This window comes from Homo sapiens, chromosome 4 (assembly GCF_000001405.40).
Source record: "Homo sapiens chromosome 4, GRCh38.p14 Primary Assembly".
Lineage (NCBI taxonomy): Eukaryota > Metazoa > Chordata > Mammalia > Primates > Hominidae > Homo > Homo sapiens.
The window spans coordinates 97,933,063-97,951,081 of NC_000004.12; the positions used below are offsets into that span (position 1 = coordinate 97,933,063).

The 18,019-nt window shown below is 36.0% G+C and overlaps 1 protein-coding gene across 7 annotated transcripts in view; it reads right to left on the bottom strand.

Moving 5' to 3' along the window:
• STPG2 (sperm tail PG-rich repeat containing 2) overlaps positions 1–18,019 on the bottom strand; it is a 702,228-nt gene that overhangs the window by 491,814 nt on the left and 192,395 nt on the right. For all 7 annotated transcript variants that reach the window (XM_047450118.1, XM_017008049.3, XM_011531886.4 and 4 more), the window contains one exon: positions 10,835–10,945. In XM_047450118.1, coding sequence (XP_047306074.1) covers positions 10,835–10,945 — 111 coding nt within the window. The remainder of the gene's footprint in view (positions 1–10,834; positions 10,946–18,019) is intronic.

The window sequence follows — 18,019 nt, forward strand, 5'->3', positions numbered from 1 at the left end:
ACTGGCATAAGATGGTATCTTATTGTGGTTTTGATTTGCATTTTTCTAATGATCAGTGATGTTGAGCTTTTTTTCATTTGTTTATTGGCCATATAAATGTCTTCTTTTGAGAATTCTCGGTTCATGTCCTTTGCCCACTTTTTGATGGGGTTGTTTTTTCTTGTAAATTTGTTTAAGTTCCTTGTAAATTCTGGATATTAGACCTTTGTCAGGCGGGTAGATCAAAAAAATTTTCTCCCACTCTCTAGGTTACCTGTTCACTCTGATGAAAATTTCTTTTGGTGTGCAGAAGCTCTTTAGTTTAATTAGATCCCAATTGTCAATTTTTTCTTTTGTTGAAATTGCTTTTGGTGATTTCATCATAAAATCTTTGCCCAAGCCTATGTCCAGAATGTTATTGCCTAGATTTTCCCCCAGGGTTTTTACGGTTTTGGGTTTTACATTTAAGTCTTTAATCCATCTTGAGTTAATTTTTGTATAAGGTGTAAGGAAGGGATCCAGTTTCAATTTTCTGTATATGGTTGGCCAGTTTTCCCAGCACCATTTATTAAATAGGGAATTCTTTCCCCCTTGCCTGTTTTTGTCAGGTTTGTCAAAGATCAGATGGTTGTAGATATGTGGTATTATTCTGAGATCTCTATTCTGTTCCGTTGATCTATGTGTCTCCTTTAGTCCCAGTACTATGCTGTTTTGGTTACTGTAGCCTTGTAGTGTGGTTTGAAGGCAGGCAGTGTGATGCCTCCAGCTTTGCTCTTTTTGCTTAGAATTGTCTTGGCTGTACGGGCTCTCTTTTTTGTTCAATATGAAGTTTAAAGTAGTTTTTTCTAATTCTGTGAAGAATGTCAATGGTAGTTTGATGGGAATAGCATTGAATCTATAAATTACTTTGGGCAGTATGCCTGTTTTCATGACATTGATTCTTCCCAACCATGAGGATGGAATGTATTTCTGTTTGTTTGTGTCCTCTCTTATTTTCTTGAGCAGTGGTTTGTAGTTCTCCTAAAGAGGTCCTTCACATTCCCTGTTAGCTGTATTCCCAGGTATTTTATTCTTTTTGTAGCAAGTGTGAATGGGAATTACTCATGATTTGGCTCTGTGCTTGTCTATTGTTGGTGTATAGGAATACTTGTGATTTTTGCACATTGATTTTGTATCCTGAGACTTTGCTGAAGTTCCTTTCAGCTTAAGGAGATTTGGGCTGAGACAATGTGGTTTTCTAGATATAGGATCATATTGTCTGCAAACAGAGACAATCTGACTTCCTCTCTTCCTAGTTGAATACCCTTTATTTCCTTCTCTTACCTGATTGCCTTGGCCAGAACTTCAAATACTATGTTGAAAAGGAGTGGTGAGAGAGGGCATCCTCATCTTATGCCAGTTTTTAAGGAGAATGCTTCCAGCTTTTTCCCACTCAGTATGATATTAGCTGCAGGTATGCCATAAATGGCTCTTATTATTTTGAGATATGTTCCATCAATACCTAGTTTATTGAGGGTTTTTAACATGAGGGATGTTGAATTTTATCGAAGGCCTTTTCTGTGTTTATTGAAATAATAATATAGTTTTTTCATTAGTTCTGATTATGTGATGAATTACACTTAATGTTTTGCGTATGTTGAACCAGCCCTGAATCCCAGGGATGAAGCCGACATGACCGTTGTGGATAAGCTTTTTGATGTGCTGGTTTTGGTTTGCCAATATTTTATTGAGGATTTTTGCATCTATGTTCATCAGGGATATTGGCCTGAAGTTTTTTTGTTTTGTTTTGTCTCTGACAGGTTTTGGTATCAGGATGATGCTGGCCTCATAAAATTAGTTAAGGAGAAGCCCCACCTTTTCAGTTGTTTGGAATTGTTTTAGAAGAAATGGTAACAGCTCCTCTTTGTACCTCTAGTAGAATTTGTCTGTGAATTCATCTGATACTGGGCGTTTTTTGGTTGATAGGCTATTTATTACTGCCTCAATTTCAGAATTTGTTATTGGTCTATTCAAGGATTCGACTTCTTCCTACTGTAGTATGGTGTGGTGTATGTGTCCAGGAATTCATCCATTTCTTCTAGATTTTCTAGTTTATTTGCATAGAGGTGTTTATAGTATTATCTAATCATTGTTATATTTCTGTGGGTTCAATGGTGATATCCTTTTTATCACTTTTTATTGTGTCCACTTGATTCTTCTCTTTTTTCCTCTTTATTATGCTAGCTACATTAACTTTGCCCAGAAGTTAATGAAGTTTCTTCATAGTTTCAATAATTTTTTCAAAAACCCAGCTCCTGGATTCATCGATTTTGGAATAATTTTTCGCATCTCCATCTCCTTCAGTTCCAATCTGATCTTAGTTATTTCTTGTCTTCTGCTAGCTTTTGGATTTGTTTGCTCTTGCTTCTCTAGTTGCTTTATTTGTAATGTTAGGGTGTTGATTTGAGATCTTTCTAGCTTTCTGATGTGGGCACTTAGTGCTAGAAGTTTCCCTCTTAACACTGCTTTAGCTGCTTTCCAGAGCTTCTTGTACATTGTCTCTTTGTTTTCATTGGTTTCAATGAACTTCTTGATTTCTGCCTTAATTTCATTATTTACCCAGGAATCATACATGAGCAGGATGTTCAACTTCCATGTAGTGCGGTTTTTAATGAGTTTCCTAATCCTGAGTTCTAATTTGATTGCTCTGTGGTCTGAGAGACTGTTTAGTATGATTTCTGTTCTTTTGCATTTGCTGAGGAGTGTTTTACTTCCAATTATGTGATCGATTTTAGAGTAAGTTCTGTGTGGCACTGAGAAGAATGTCTATTCTGTTGTTTTGGGGTGGAGAGTTCTGTAGATACGTATCAGTTACACTAGATCCAGAGCTGAGCACAAGTCCTGACTATCCTTGTTAATTTTCTGTCTTGATGATCTGTCTAATGTTTACAGTGAGGTGTTAAAATCTCCCACTATTATTGTATGGGACTCTAAGTCTCTTCGTAGGTCTCTAAGAACTTGCTTTATGAATCTGGGTGCTCCTGTATTGGGTGCATATATATTTAGGATAGTTAATTCTTCTTATTAAATTCATCCCTTTACCGTTATGTAATGCCCCTCTTTGTCTTTTTACCTTTGTTGGCTTTAAAGTCTGTTTCGTCAGAGACTAGGATTGCAACCCCTGCTTTTTTCTGTTTACCATTTGCTTGGTAAATTTTCCTCCACCCCTTTATTTTTAGCCTAAGTGTGTCTTTCTGCATGAGATGTGTCTCTTGAATACAGCACACTGATGATTTGGGACACTATCCAATTTGCGGGTCTGTGCTTTTTAACTGGGGCATTTAGCCTATTTACATTTGAGGTTAACATTGTTATGTTATTAAATTCGATCCTGTCATCATGATGCTAGCTGGTTATTTTGCCCACAAATTAATGCGGTTTCTTCATTGTTTCATTGGTCTTTGTGCTTTAATGTGTTTTTAGAGTGGCTGGTACCAGTTTTACCTTTCCTTATTCAGTGCTTCCTTCAGGAGATCTTGCAAGGCAGGCCTGGTGGTAATGAATTCCCTCAGCATTTGCTTGTCTGAAAATGATTTTATTTCTCCTTCACTTATAAGGCTTAGTTTGGCCAGATATGAAATTCTGGGCTGAAAATTCTTTTCTTTAAGAATGTTGAACATTGGCCCCCACTCTCTTCTGGCTTGCAGTGTTTCTGCTGAGAGCTTCACTGTTAGTCTAATGGGCTTCCCTTTGTAGGTGACCTGGCCTTTATATCTGGCTGCCCTTAACATTTTGTTTTTCATTTCAACCTTAGAGAATCTGATGATTATGTGTCTTGGGGTTGATCTACTCATGGAGTATGTTATTGGGGTTCTCTGGATTCCTGAATTTAAAAGTTGGCCTGTCTTGCTAAGTTGGGGAATTTCTCCTGGATGATATCCTGAACTGTGTTTTTCAACTTGGTTCATTCTCCCTTTCTCTTTCAAGTACTCCAATCAGTCATAGGTTCAGTATTTTTTCATAGTCCCAAGGTTCTTGGGGGTTTTGTTTGTTCCTTTTAATTCTTTTTTCTCTAAACTTGTCTGCCTGCCTTATTTCAGCAAGACAGTCTTCAAGTTCTGATATTCTTTCTTCTGCTTGATCGATTCAGCTATTGATATTTGTGTTTGCATTATAAAGTTCTTGTGGTGTGTTTCTCAGCTCCATCAGGCCATTTATGTTCCTCTCTAAACTGGTTATTCTAGCTAGCAGCTCCTGTTACCTTTTATCATGGTTCTCAGCTTCTTTGCATTGGGTTAGAACATGCTCCTTTACCTCAGCAAAGTATGTTATTATCCACCTTTCTAAAGGCTACTTCTGTAATTCATCTATCTCATCCTCTGTCCAGTTCTGTGCCCTTGCTGAAGAGGTGTTGTGATCATTTCGAGGAGAAGAAGCACTCTGTCCTTTTGAATTTTTGCGGTTTTTTGTTAATTCTTTCTCATCTTCGTGAGTTTGTCTAGTGTCAATCTTTCAGGCTGCTGACCTTTGGATGAGGTTTTTGTAGGAACTTTTTTGTTGATGCTGTTATTGTTGCTTTCTGTTTGTTTGTTTTCCTTTGAATAGTCAGGTCACTCTTCTGTAGGGCTGCTGTGGTTTGCTGAGGGTTCACTTAAGGCTCTATTCATCTGGGTCCCTCCTGCACATGGAGATGTCACCTGAGGAGGCTGAAGAACAGCAAAGATGGGTGCCTGCTCTTTCCTCTGGGATCTCTGACCTCGAGGGGCACCAACCTAATGTCAGTAGGAACACTCCTGTATATGGTGTCTGCTGACCCCTGTTGGGGGCTGCTGCACAACTGGGGTGGGCGCAGGAACCAAGACCCATTTAACGAAGCCCTTTGGCTGTCGCTTGGTTGAGGGGGTGTACTGCACTTGGGGCAAACCCACTCATCTGGGCTGCTAGATTCCTCAGAGCTAGCAGGAAGGAAGACGTAGTCTGCAGGTCCACAGAGACCATGGCCACCCCTTCCCCTAGGGATTCAGACTGAAGGAAATCAGAGTTCTGTCCCTAAGCCCCCGGCTGGAGTTGCTGGAGTTCCTGCAGGGAGGCCTCACCCAGAGAGCAGGGATGGGTCAGGATCTGGCCTACGAAGGCAGCCTGGCCATGATCTGCCACAGCTGGTATGCTGCGCTGTGGGGAATATCTCCTGGAACCAAGTAGTCCAGTCTCCCTGGCACCAGCAGGAAAAAAACAGCTGCCTGGAGCTATAGCGATGGCTGCTGCCCAGCACCCCCAAGAGTCCGGTGTCTTAAGCTGCCAGCAGCCACAGTGATAGCTGTCATCCCTCCCCTGGGAAGCTGAGCTGTCTTAGGCAGCCGGCAGCTGCAGTGATAATGGCTATCCCTCCCTCGGGGAGCTCAGTTGTCTTAGGCAGTCAGTAGCCACAGTGACTAAGTCAGAAGGCTTAGACAGCAGGCAGCCACAGTGACGATGGCCACCCACCCCTGCAGGAACTCTTAGCCAGATTCCAGCCAATTGACTGTTGAGAATCTGAACAGCTCTGTGGTTGTGACCTAAGGCCCTGGTGGTGTGGGCTCACAAGTGGGATCTTCTGATCTGTGGGTTGCACAGATCTGTGGAAAAAGCAGAGCTTCCCAGGCTGGATGGCACGCTCACTCACTGCCTCCCTTGGCTGGTGCTGGAGGTGCCCCTTACCCCATGTGGCTCTCAGGTGGGCCGACACACCACCCTGCTTTTCATTGCTCTCCATTGGTCATGCGAACCACCTGGTCAGTCCTGATGAGAGAACCTGGATACCTTGGTTGCCAGTATAGGATTCACATGCTGTTTTGGTTCTTCTCAGTGGGAGCCTCTGACCACCACTGCTTCTAGTAGGCCATCTTGGGTCTGCCCCTCCTTTTCAACTTTTTGATGTGGAAATTCAGTACTATGAATTTTCCTCTTAACACTGCCTTAGCTGTATCTCAGAGTTCTGGTATGTGTTATCTTTGTTCTCATTATGTTCAAATAACTTCTTGATTTCTGCCTTAATTTCATTATTTACCCAAAAGTCATTCAGAAGCATGTTGTTTAATTTCCATATAATTGCATGATTTTGAGTGATTTTTTTATAGTCTTGACATCTATTTTTGTCACACTGTGGTCCAAGGATGCGTTTGGTATGATTTCAGTTCTCTTACATTTGTTGAAGATTGTTTTATGTCCAATGATGTGGTCAATTTCAGAGTATGTGCCATGTGGCAATAAGAGGAGTATATATTCTCTTGTTTGGGGGTGGAGAGTTCTGAAAAGGTCTATCAGATCCATGGTCCAATGTTGCATTTAACTCCTGAATATCTTTGTTAATTTTCTGACTCAATGATCTGTCTAATACCGTCAGTGGGGTGTTGAAGTCTTATTGTGTGGGAGTCTGTGTCTCTTTGTAGGTCTCTAAGAATGTGCTTTATAAATCTGAGTTCTCTTTGTTGGGTGCATATATATTTAGAATAGCTAGGTCTTCTTGTTGAATTGAAACCTTTACCATTATGTAATGCCCTTCTTTGTCATTTCTGATCTTTGCTGGTGTGAAATCTGTTTTGTCTGAAATTAAGATTGCAACCCCTGCTTTTTTTCTGTTTTCCATTTGCTTGACAGATTTTCCTCCATCCCTTTATTTTGAGCCTATGAGAGTCATTACATGTAAGATGGGTCACTTGAAAACAGCATACAATTGGGTCTTGCTTTTTTATCCAGCTTGTCTTTCTGTGCCTTTTAACTGGGACATTTAGTCCATTTACATTCAAAGTTAGTATTGATATGAATGGATTTGATCCTGGCATTGTGCTGTTAGCTGGTTATTATGTTGGCTTGTTCATGTGGTTATTTTACAGTCACACTGGTCCTGTGTGTTTAAATGTGTTTCATATTAGCTGGTAGTGGTGTTTCCTTTCTATACATGGAGCTTCTTTCAAGATCTCTTGTAAGGCAGGTCTGGTGGTAATGAACTCCCTCAACATCTACCTATCTGAAAAGGACCTTATTTCTCCTTCACTTAGGAATCTTAACTTAGCTGGATATAAAATTCTTGGTTGAAGATTTTTTCTTTAAGAAAGTTGAATATAGGCCCCCAGTCTCTTGGTTTATAGGGTTTCAGCTGAGAGTCGGCTGTTAGCCTCATAGAGATCCCTTTGTAGGTAACCTGCTCTTTCTCTCTAGGTGACTTTAACATTCTTTCTTTCATTTCAACCTTGGAAAATCTGAGGTTTCTGTGTCTCAGGGATGATCTTCTTGTGTAGCATCTTGCAGAAGTTATCTGTATTTTCTGAATTTGACTGTTGGCCTCTCTAGCAAAATTGGGAAAGTAGTCATGGATTATATCCTTAAATATGTTTTCCAAGTTGTTTGCTTTTTTCCCTTCCCTTTCAGGGATGCCAGTGATTCACAGACTTGGCCTCTTAAAATAATCCCATACTTCTTGGAGGTTTTGTTCATTCCTTTTTGTTCTTTTTTCTCTGGTTTTGTCTGACTGTCTTATTTCAGAGAACCAGTCTCCAAATTCTAAGATTCTTTACACAGCTTGGTTTCTTCTGCTATTAATACTTGCAATTCCATTGTGAAATTCTTGTATTGTGTTATTCAGCTCTGTTAGACCTGTTAGGTTCTTTTTTATACCAGCTATTTCATCCTTCAGCTCCTGTATCACTTTATTGTGATTTTAAAATAAACCAATTTTAAAGCAGGATTTATATTATCATTATTATTCCCTACAGAGCCAAGTAGTGTGGCCATACACAAGTAACAAATTTTATGTCATCAAACTCCTGCCTCTTGAAGAATATGTCATACATGAGCTAAAATGACTTCTTCATTAATTATTTTCACTTTACTTTGTCTAGGAAATGCTCGGTTCATATTCATCTTTGTCTTTATGTCACCATTCTTTTGTTTCCTTTTTTTATTTCACTGGAGCAACTCCACATATGAAGACATAGAGTTACTAAACTTTATGAACTATTGCATGTCAGAAAATTATTTTCTTGATTCATTTAATTGAAACTTTAGGTAGAGGGAGAACTCTATATCCAAAATCATTTCCCCTGAGAAATTTAAGAAAATATTACTTCACCATCTCCTAGCCTTGAAATGCGGCTAATGTTGCTAAGCTAGTACCTGACATAAGTTATATTTCTCATCCCTTTGTGGGTTACCCAGCGACTTTACTCTGTGGAAGCTTCAAGGATATTTGCTTTAGTTAGGATCTTCTGAAAATGAAAAAAAAAGTGAAAAGGACATAGGTATTTTTATATTTATCCTCCTTGGCATTCTGTTAAGCTCCTCAAATCAGTAACTTATGTTTTTATTCAGCTTGAAACAACTTTCTGTTTTCTATATCAAATAATTATTGTCTCAACATTCTGCTTCTAGAATGCTCAGTAAACAGATGTTTTGTTTATGTTCATCCTCCATTTGTCACATTTTCTTTCTATTTATAATCATCTAATGCTTATGTCATGGTTTTTTTAAAAGAATAAAAAATATTTCCCTGGGATGTTGTAAAAGAAATAAGTCTTTGATATGAAACCAGAAGTCTGGAAGGGAGCTATATTTTTTATGCAAAGATACAACTGGGAAAATTAAGCTATCAAATCATCTTTTAAGACTGCAGCATATCCATAAGTAAAATACCTGGGAGGTAAATTTTATTTTTATTTAAAGTAAATAATAAAATTAATTCCATTACTTTATACATTTGAGATATTATTTCAATTTTATTTTGAGATCAATAATTTGGATTTTTCATTACATACACATTATACACCCACCTGTTTGAAGTGTATTGTCATTTGCAAAAGAGATTTAAAAACCAAGCTTTCTATGTGACTAAACTATTCTGCTTCTTGGGTAACCAGAGTCCCACTGAATAATTTTAATTGCAAATGTTTCATGTCAGAAAAGAGAACACTAAAAAGAAGTTTTCAGATCTAAAGAGGGACAAAGTTAAAAGAAAAATATGTAAATTAAGTCAAAAATATTGGTGAAGCAACTTGTCTTCCTTTAGAGCAGATGTGCACCATCTTTTTTCACTACAAAGTTTAACATATATATGTATAGATACGTTTTAAATATATATATGTGTGTATATATATATATATTTAAAACGTATCTATACATATATATACACATACTGCCTTCCTATGGATGCTTTCAGAAATTTCCATTGTTTTTTCCTACTACCTGTGATATTATGATAGAAATAACTTTGAATCCATTCAATGACTCCTAAGCATAAAAGCATTATATTAGTAATAAATTAGTCATGGCATACTTCACAATGGATCCTGAGGTGTGTACAACAATGACTCACTTGAAAAATACAGTTGAACTCTAAAATTCCTCAAGATGAAGAAATAATCCATTAAAACAGCACTATTAGTTAAAAATTACTCAGAATCTACTACATGTAAAGAATATTGCTAGATGATTTTAAACTGTCTTTTGAATTTATAATTACAAAAATCTCATAGAATAGAACCTGATGCTGATTTTGACTACATCTCAGATTCCAATAATGCCTCAGAAAAAAAAATAATAAGTCCACTCCTGAATAGCTTTCACCAAATTAATCTAATTGCTATTATTTCCAAGACATTCAGAGTTATATTAACTAGCATTGCATTTGTCATTCCCTTAAATTAGTTCATCATGATCTTGTACCAGTTATTTTACAATCAAAAATATTACAAATCAACTGTTGGCATTATCTCACGTAGCAGAATTTTATTTCAGCAAGTTATACTCTGTTTTCATTGATTAGCTACATTTTAAACCTTGTTTAATAATCCTGTTTTGAAATTTGTTATTAACAATATCTTCTCAAGATAGTCCAATTTCTACAAAAATGTATTTTAATAACACCTTGTTCACAAAAGGCTACACTGTAACATTTGTCTTTCTCTGTTTGGAGTGCTATAACAAAATACCATAAACTGGGTAGCTTGTAAATGAAATTTATTTCTCACAGGTCTGCAGGCTGGAAAGTTCAACACCAAGGCACAAGCAGACTCAGTATCTGGAGAGGCCCTGCTTCCTCATAGACAGTATCTTCTCTGAGTCCTCATGGTAAAAGGGGCAAACGAGCCTGCCTGGGCCTATTTTATAAGAGTACTAATCCTATTTATGAGGTCTCCACCCTCATGACATAATCACCTCCCAGAAAGTGCCACCTCCTAATACCATCACCTTGGGAGTTAGGATTTCAACATATGAATTTTAAGAGGATACAAACATTTAGACTCTAGCAACATTATCACTGGGTCCAACTTTTTAACTCTAAATTTTACTTTGATATATTTGTAAATTCAATCTGAATTGCTCAACTACTAATTTTTTAATTTAATCTGCTTCACTGTTTTCAATTTACTCACTACTAGGTATTTATTTTAAAAAATGGAAATTCAGAAAAATTTATAGCCATACCATTTAACATACAGGTCAACAGGAGTAAAAATAAATCACTCGGGAGTCTTAGATTTCAAGACGAATTCCATTGAAAAGAGAAAACATTTGCACTATGAGTAAAATGAGTTGAACCTAGTAAATCTTTTGCTCCATATACAACACAGCAAGTTCAGCTTTCATATATGTCCTAAGAATGAATGTTCTCTGACCCTACAAGGGATGTTGCATGTAATAATCTCTCATATAGCAATTCTGGACTTTGGCATAGCTTGAAGAATTTTGTTGAACTTTAAAAATATAAAAGTATCGGTCTAGCCAAGGAGGTTACAGCACGCTACCAGTTACCTCACTCAGGTCCTAATATAATGTTTATGTTATGCAGCCTCCTCCATGATTTCTAGATAATGAAAATATTTGATTGTAGGAGTATTCTTACCATATCTGGTACTTTCATAGTTCTTTTGGCTCTTGACAAGAAAGCAGCATATTTGTTAGTCAAGTTAGGTAATTCATCAGAAATTCCCACACCCTGTGAATGCCAAAATTCCTGTTGAAAGAAGGGGTTAAAAAGAGTACATCATTTATTTTTATCAATACAAGAGGCACTATAAATAATAAGTTTGCAATGAAGTTCATCAGTATTATCTGGCATTAAATAAAGACACATATTCATAAACAAATAAAATTTTCAAAATATGACACAGAAAGAAAAAGCTGTAAGTCAATGAGATATTAAAATGGAAAAAGAATTGATTATATGAACCTCTAGGTAAGTATAATGGATCTGCACACATTACTTAAACATATTAGCTATGTTCTATTTCATAACCAGCAAGTTCTGTCTCAATAATATATTAGTATAAGATACTTAGCCAATTATATAGTATTATTTAACAATTTATTATTAATAAAAATATATTTACATTTAACCATTTAATTTTGTGGCAATTCTGGGTTAATATATTTTCTAAGCAAAATGATCCACTCACTCTCTTAAATATCATAATTCTTTATATGCATTGAAGATTTAAATTAATAGGCTAGAGGAATCTAGTAATGTAATATTTCAATGAGCAATTAATCCTTGTGATACTTTCTATTTTGTCATACAATTTATTTGTATTCATTTAATTAAATAGAATAAACAGCAGCAACATCCTTTGTATATGCAAAAGGGGTAAGAATCTATTTTCCCATTTTTTTACACATTTTACTGTTTTTGTTTCAGAATTTGATATTCATAGTTAATATTTCAGAATTTGACACATAGTAGCTAATAGACATATTTCTTTCTTGGCCCATTTTTTGGTAACATTAATTTACTAAAACATCCATTACCCACCTAATGTATCTGTGACATGATCTGCCTCTACCCAAAATGCTGAAGATGGCACTTCTCCACTTTTTTCCACATGATATTATTCCAACCTATCCACTCCAGATAATATAGGTAGCTTCTATCACTTTCAAAAATAGAACAATCACAGTCACATCTTTTAAAAATGTGAAAGCCTTTGAATATAGAACATCTAAGCCAGCATTATTATTTTTGTGTAGTTTTTAAATTGTTTGAAGCTGAAAAATAACTTATTTTTATAATAATTTTTATTTCGATAGCTTTTGGGGTACAAGTGGTTTTTCCTTACATGGATGTATAGTACAGTGGTGAATTCTTAGATTTTAGTGCACCCATCACCCACGTAGTGTACATTGTACCCAATAAGTAGTTTTTTATCCCCCTATTCTCCTCCCACCCTCCCCTTTCTAAGTCTCCAAAGTCCATTATATCACTCTGTGTGTCTTTGCGTACCCATGGCTTAGCTCTCACTTATCAGTGAAACCATACAGTATTTGGTTTTTCATTCCTGAGCTAGTTCACTTAGAATAATGGCCTCCAGCTCCATCCAAGTTGCTGCAGAAGATATTATGTTATTCTTTTTTATGGCTGAGTAGTATTCCATGGTGTATATATACCACATTTTTTCTATCCACTCATTGGTCAATGGGCACTAAGATTGGTTCCTTATCTTTGCAATTGTGAATTTGGCTACAATAAACATACACATGCAGGTGTCTTTTTAATGTATTGACTTATTTTCCATTGGGTAAATACCCAGTAGTGGGATTACTAGATCAAATCGTAGATCTATTTTTAGTTATCTAAGAAATCTCCACACTGTTTTCCACAGAGATTGTACTAACTTACACTCCTACCATTAATTTATAAGCATTCTCTTTTCAAGACCCCAACATCTATTGTTTTTTTGGGTTTGTTTATTGGTTTTTGTTCGTTACTTTTTAACACTGGCCATTCTTGGATGGGTACAGTGGCTCACACCTGTAATCCCACCACTTTGGGAGGCCAAATTAGGCAGATCACTTGAGCCCAAGAGTTCATGATCAGCCTGAGCAATATGGTGAAACCCTATCTCTACAAAAAACACAAAAATTAGCTGAGTGTGGTGGCATATACCTGTGGTCCCTGCTATTGGAGAGGCTGAGGTAAGAGGATCCCTGGAGCCTGGGAGATCAAGGCTGCAGTGAGCCATAATCACACTACTGCACTCCAGCCTGGGTAAGGCAGTGAGACCCTGTCTCAAAAAAATAATAATAGAAATAAAGGCCATTCTTGCAGGAGTGAGGTGGTATCTCATTGCGGTTTTAATTTGCATTTCCCTGATGACTAGTGATGTTGAATATTTTTTCATATATTTGCTGGCCATTTGTATATCTTCTTTTAATAAATATCTATTCATGTCAGTTGCCCACTTTTTCATGAAACTGTTTTATTTTCTTGCTGGTTTGTTTGAGTTCCTTGTAGATTCTGCATATTAGTCCTTTGCCCAATGCATAGTTTGCAATATTTTCTCCCATTCTGTGGGTTGTCTGTTTACTCTGGTGGTTATTTCTTTTGCTATACAGAAGCTCTGTAGTTTAATTAGGTCTAATTTGTTTATTTTTGTTTTAGTTCCATTTGCTTTGGGAGACTTAGTCATGAATTCTTTGCCTAAGCCAATGTCCAGAAGAGTTTTTCTTACGTTATCTTCTAGAATTTTTATGGTTTCAGGTATTAGATTTGTCTTTAATCCATCTTGAGTTGCTTTTTATATAAAATGAGATGTAGGGATTCAGTTTCATTCTTCTAAATGTAGCTATTCAGTTTTCCCAGGACCATTTATTGAATAGGGTGTCCATTCCCCAATTTATGCTGTTCTATGCTTTGTCAAAGATCAGTTGGTTGTAAATATTTGGCTTTATTTCTGCATTCTCTATTCTGATCCATTGATCTATATGTCTACTTTTATATAAGTACTGTGTATTTTGGTAACTACAGCCTTGTAGTACAATCTGAAGTCCAGTAATGTGCTGCCTCCAGATTTGTTCTTTTAGCTTTGTATTGCTTTGGCTAAGCAGGCTCTTTTTTGATTCCATATGAATTGTAGGATTGTTTCTTTTAATTCTGTGAAAAATGATGCTGGTATTTTGATAGGAATTGCATTGAATCTGTCGATTGCTTTGGGCAGTATGGTCATTTTCATAATATTGATTCTTGCAATCCGTGAGAATGGGATGTGTTTCCATTTGTTTGTGTCACCTATGATTTCTTTCGGCAGTGTTTTGTAGTTCTCCTTGTAGAGATCTTTCACCTTGGTTAGTATATTCCAGGATATTTTATCTTTTTTGCAGCTAAAGGAGATTGAGTTTATTTCATTCTCAGTTTGGTCATTGTTGGTGTATATCAGTGTTACTGATTTGCGTACATTGATTTTGTAACCTGAGACATTACTGAATTTGATTATCAAATCTAATCTTATCTCTAGGCTTATCCAGTCAACACTTTTGAGAAATCTCTAGGGTTTTCTATGATATATAATCATATCATTGGTGAACAGCAATAGTTTTACTTCCTTTTTTGCAATCTAAATGCACTGTATTTCCTTCTGTTGCCTGATTGGTCTGGCTAGGACTTCTGGTATTTTGCTGAATGGAAAGTGGTGAAAGTGGGGATCTTCATCTTGTTCCAGTTCTCAGTGGGAATGATTTCAACTTTTCCTCATTCAATATAATGTTGGCTGTGGGTTTGTCATAGATGGTGTCTATTAATTTGAACTAAGTCCCTTTTATACCTAGTTTATTGAGGGTTTTTAATCATAAAAAGATGCTAGATTTTATCAAATGCTTTTCTGCAGCTATTGAGATAACCATATGGTTTTTGTTTTTAATTGTTTATGTGATGAATCATATTTACTGACATGCTTATGTTAAACCATCCCTGCATCCCTTGAATGAAGCCCACTTGTTCATGATGTATTATCTTTCTGATGTGCTGATAGATTCAGCTATCTAGTATTTTGTTGAGAGTTTTTGCATCTACATTCATCAGGGATATTGGTCTGTAGTTTTCTTTTTTTGTTATGTTCTTTCCTGGTTCTGGTATCAGGGTAACACTGGCTTAACAGAATGAGTTAGGGAGGATTCCTTCTTTCTCAATCTTTTGTAATAGTTTCACCAGTAGGATTGGTACCAATTCTTTGAATGCCTGGTAGAATTCAGCTGTGAACCCATCTGATCCTGGGCTTTTTTCTTTGTTGTCAATTTTTAATTACTGATTTAATATTGCTGCTTGTTATTGGTCTGGTCTGGGTTGCTATTTCTTCCCAATTTAATCTAAAAAAGTTGTAGGTTTCCAGGAATTTATCCATTTCCTCTAGATTTCCTAGGTTGTGTGCATAGTTTGTGTTTCTAGTTTGTGTTCATGGCTATCTCAAATGATCTTTTGTGTTTCTGTGGTGTAGGTTGTAATGTCTCCAATTTTATTTCTAATTGACCTTATTTGAATCTCCTCTCTTCTTTTCTTGGTTAATCTAGCTAAAGTTATATCAATTTTATTTGCCTTTTCAAGGAACCAACTTTTTGTTTCATTGATATTTTGTATTGATTTTTTGTTCAAATACATGTAGTTCTACTCTAATCTTTGTTACTTCTTTTCTTCTAGATTTGGGCTTAGTTTGTTCTTGTTTCTCTTATTCTTTGAGGTGTTACATTAGGTTGTCAGTTTGTGGTCTTTCAGGCTCTGATGTAGGCATTTAGTGCTACAAACATTCCTCTTAGCACTGCATTTGCTGTATCCCAGAAGTTTTGATGACTCATGTCACTATTATTCATTTCAAAGAACTGTTTAATTTCCAACTTGATTTCATTTTTAACACAAAAATCATTCAGGAACAGATTGTTTAATTTCTATGTATAGGTATAGTTTTGAGGGTTTCTTCTGGAGTTGATTTCTATTTGTATTCTGCTGTGATCTGAGAAGATACTTGCTACAGTTTTTATTTTTTCACATTTATTGAGACTTGTTTTGTGGTGTGTCATATAGGTCTATCATGGAAAATGTTCCATGTGCTGATGAGAAGAATGTATATTCTGAAATTCTTAGGTAGAATGTTCTGTAAATATCTGTTAAGTCCATGTGTTCTAGAGTGTTTAAGACCATTGTTTCTTTGTTGAATTTCTGTCTCAGTCATCTGTATACTGCTGTCAATGGGGTGTTGAAGTCCCCCACTATAATTGTGTTGCTTTCTATCTCCTCTCTTAAGTCAAGTAGTAATTGTTTTAAAAATCTGAGAGCTCCAGGGATAAGTGCTTATACATTTAAAATTATAATATCTTCTCGTTGAATTGATCCTTTTATCATCATATAATGATCTTCTTTGTCATTTTTTACTGCTGTTGCTTTAAAGTTTGTTGTTGTTTTATCTAATATAAGAATAGCTACTCCTGGTCACTTTGGGTTTCCATTTGCATGGATTAACTTTTACCACCCTTTTACCTTGAGTTTATATAAATCCCTCAATGTTAGGTGAGTCTCTTGAAGACCAAAGATATCTAGTTTGTGATTTTTCTTATCTAATCTGCCAATCTGTATATTTTAAGTGGACCATTACGCCATTTACGTTCAACATAATATCAAGATACTGTTCCAATCAACATGTGAATTGTTACTTACTTTTTTTTCTTCATTGTATTATTGTTTTATAGGCCGTGTGAGTTTTATGCTTGCAAGAGGTTCTATTCTGGTGCATAATGGGCTTTTGTTTCAAGATTTAGACTCCTTTTAGCATTTCTTGTAGGGCTGGTCTGGTAGTAAAAAGTTTTCTCAGCACTTATTTGTCTGAAAATGACGTAGTTTTGCTGGATACAAAATTTTTGGCCGATGGTTATCCTATTTAAAGAGGCTAAAGATAGGACCCCAGTCCCTTCTGGTTTGTAAGTGTTCTGCTGAGAAGTCTGCTGTTAGTCTGAAAGGTTTTCCCTTACAGGTTACCTGATGCTTTTGCCTCATGGCTCTTAGAATTATTTCATTCACATTGACTTTAAATAGCTAGATGACTATATGCCTTTGTGTTTTGTTTTTTGTTTTTTGTTTTGTTTTTTGTTTTTGCAATGAATCTCACATGAGTTCTTTGACTTTCTTGTATTTGGATATCTAAATCACCAGCAAGGCCAGGGAAGTTTTCCTCAATTTCCTCAAAAAATTATTCTACTTATTTTAATCTATTGTTAAAACCTCCACTGCATTTTGTAGTTCCCTAAATGTGTCTTTCATTTCCAGAAGTTCTGATTTGTTTCTTTTTAAAATATTTATCTCTTTAGAAATTTTTTCATTCATATCCTGAAATTTTTTTAATTTCTTTATGTTAATTTTCACCTTTCTCTAGTATCTCAAATAAATTTTCCAAACATTATACTTTCTCTTATTCCTCAAAACACCAATTATTATTAGGTTTGGCCATTTTACATAATCTATTATTTCCTGGAAACTTTGTTCATTTCTGTTCTTTATTCTTTATTTTTCTCTGACTGGGTTAGCTTAAAAGCCTTGTCTTCAAGCACTGAAACTCTTTCTTCTACTTGTTCTAGCCTATTGTTAAAACCTCTACCACATTTTGTAATTCCCTAAATGTGTCTTTCATTTCCAGAAGTTCTGATTTTTTTCTCTTTAAAATATGTATCTCTTCATTCATATGCTGATTTTTTCAAAATTTCTTTATGTTGGTTTTCACCTTTTTCTGGTATCTCCTTGAATACCTTAGTAATTAATCTTTTGAATTCGTTTTCTGGTATTTCCAAGATTTCATCTTGGTTTGGATCTATTGCTAGAGAGCTAGTGAAACTGCCATTGCAAAATTATAACTGAGAAAATTATTTCAGTGAAAGACCAACTTCATCTTTCTTCTGACCTCCACGCTGTCCATGTTCATTGCTGGGCATAAGCTGAACTAACTTTGGGAAAACTTAGTTTATAGTTTAACTTTGAAACAAAGACAATAACAGCCCTTTTCCAAAACAAACACCCTTCCTGTTTGGAGACTAGATTGCCTTTGTAGGACTAACAAATTAGCCACAAGATTAGAAATTATGGTTTAGGAGTCATGCAGCTGGACTCCTCTCATGCTACCTCTACACAATTCTGACCCTCCCCAAATTGCTCCTGGGGACAATATCACTATTGTAAAACCTAAGGTCAGTGTTTGAGATATTTACAGACCCTGCACTTGATGAATCAGCTGGCACCATCCAGATCAACTAACTGGTTTATCTGGTCTTGTGGCCCCCACCC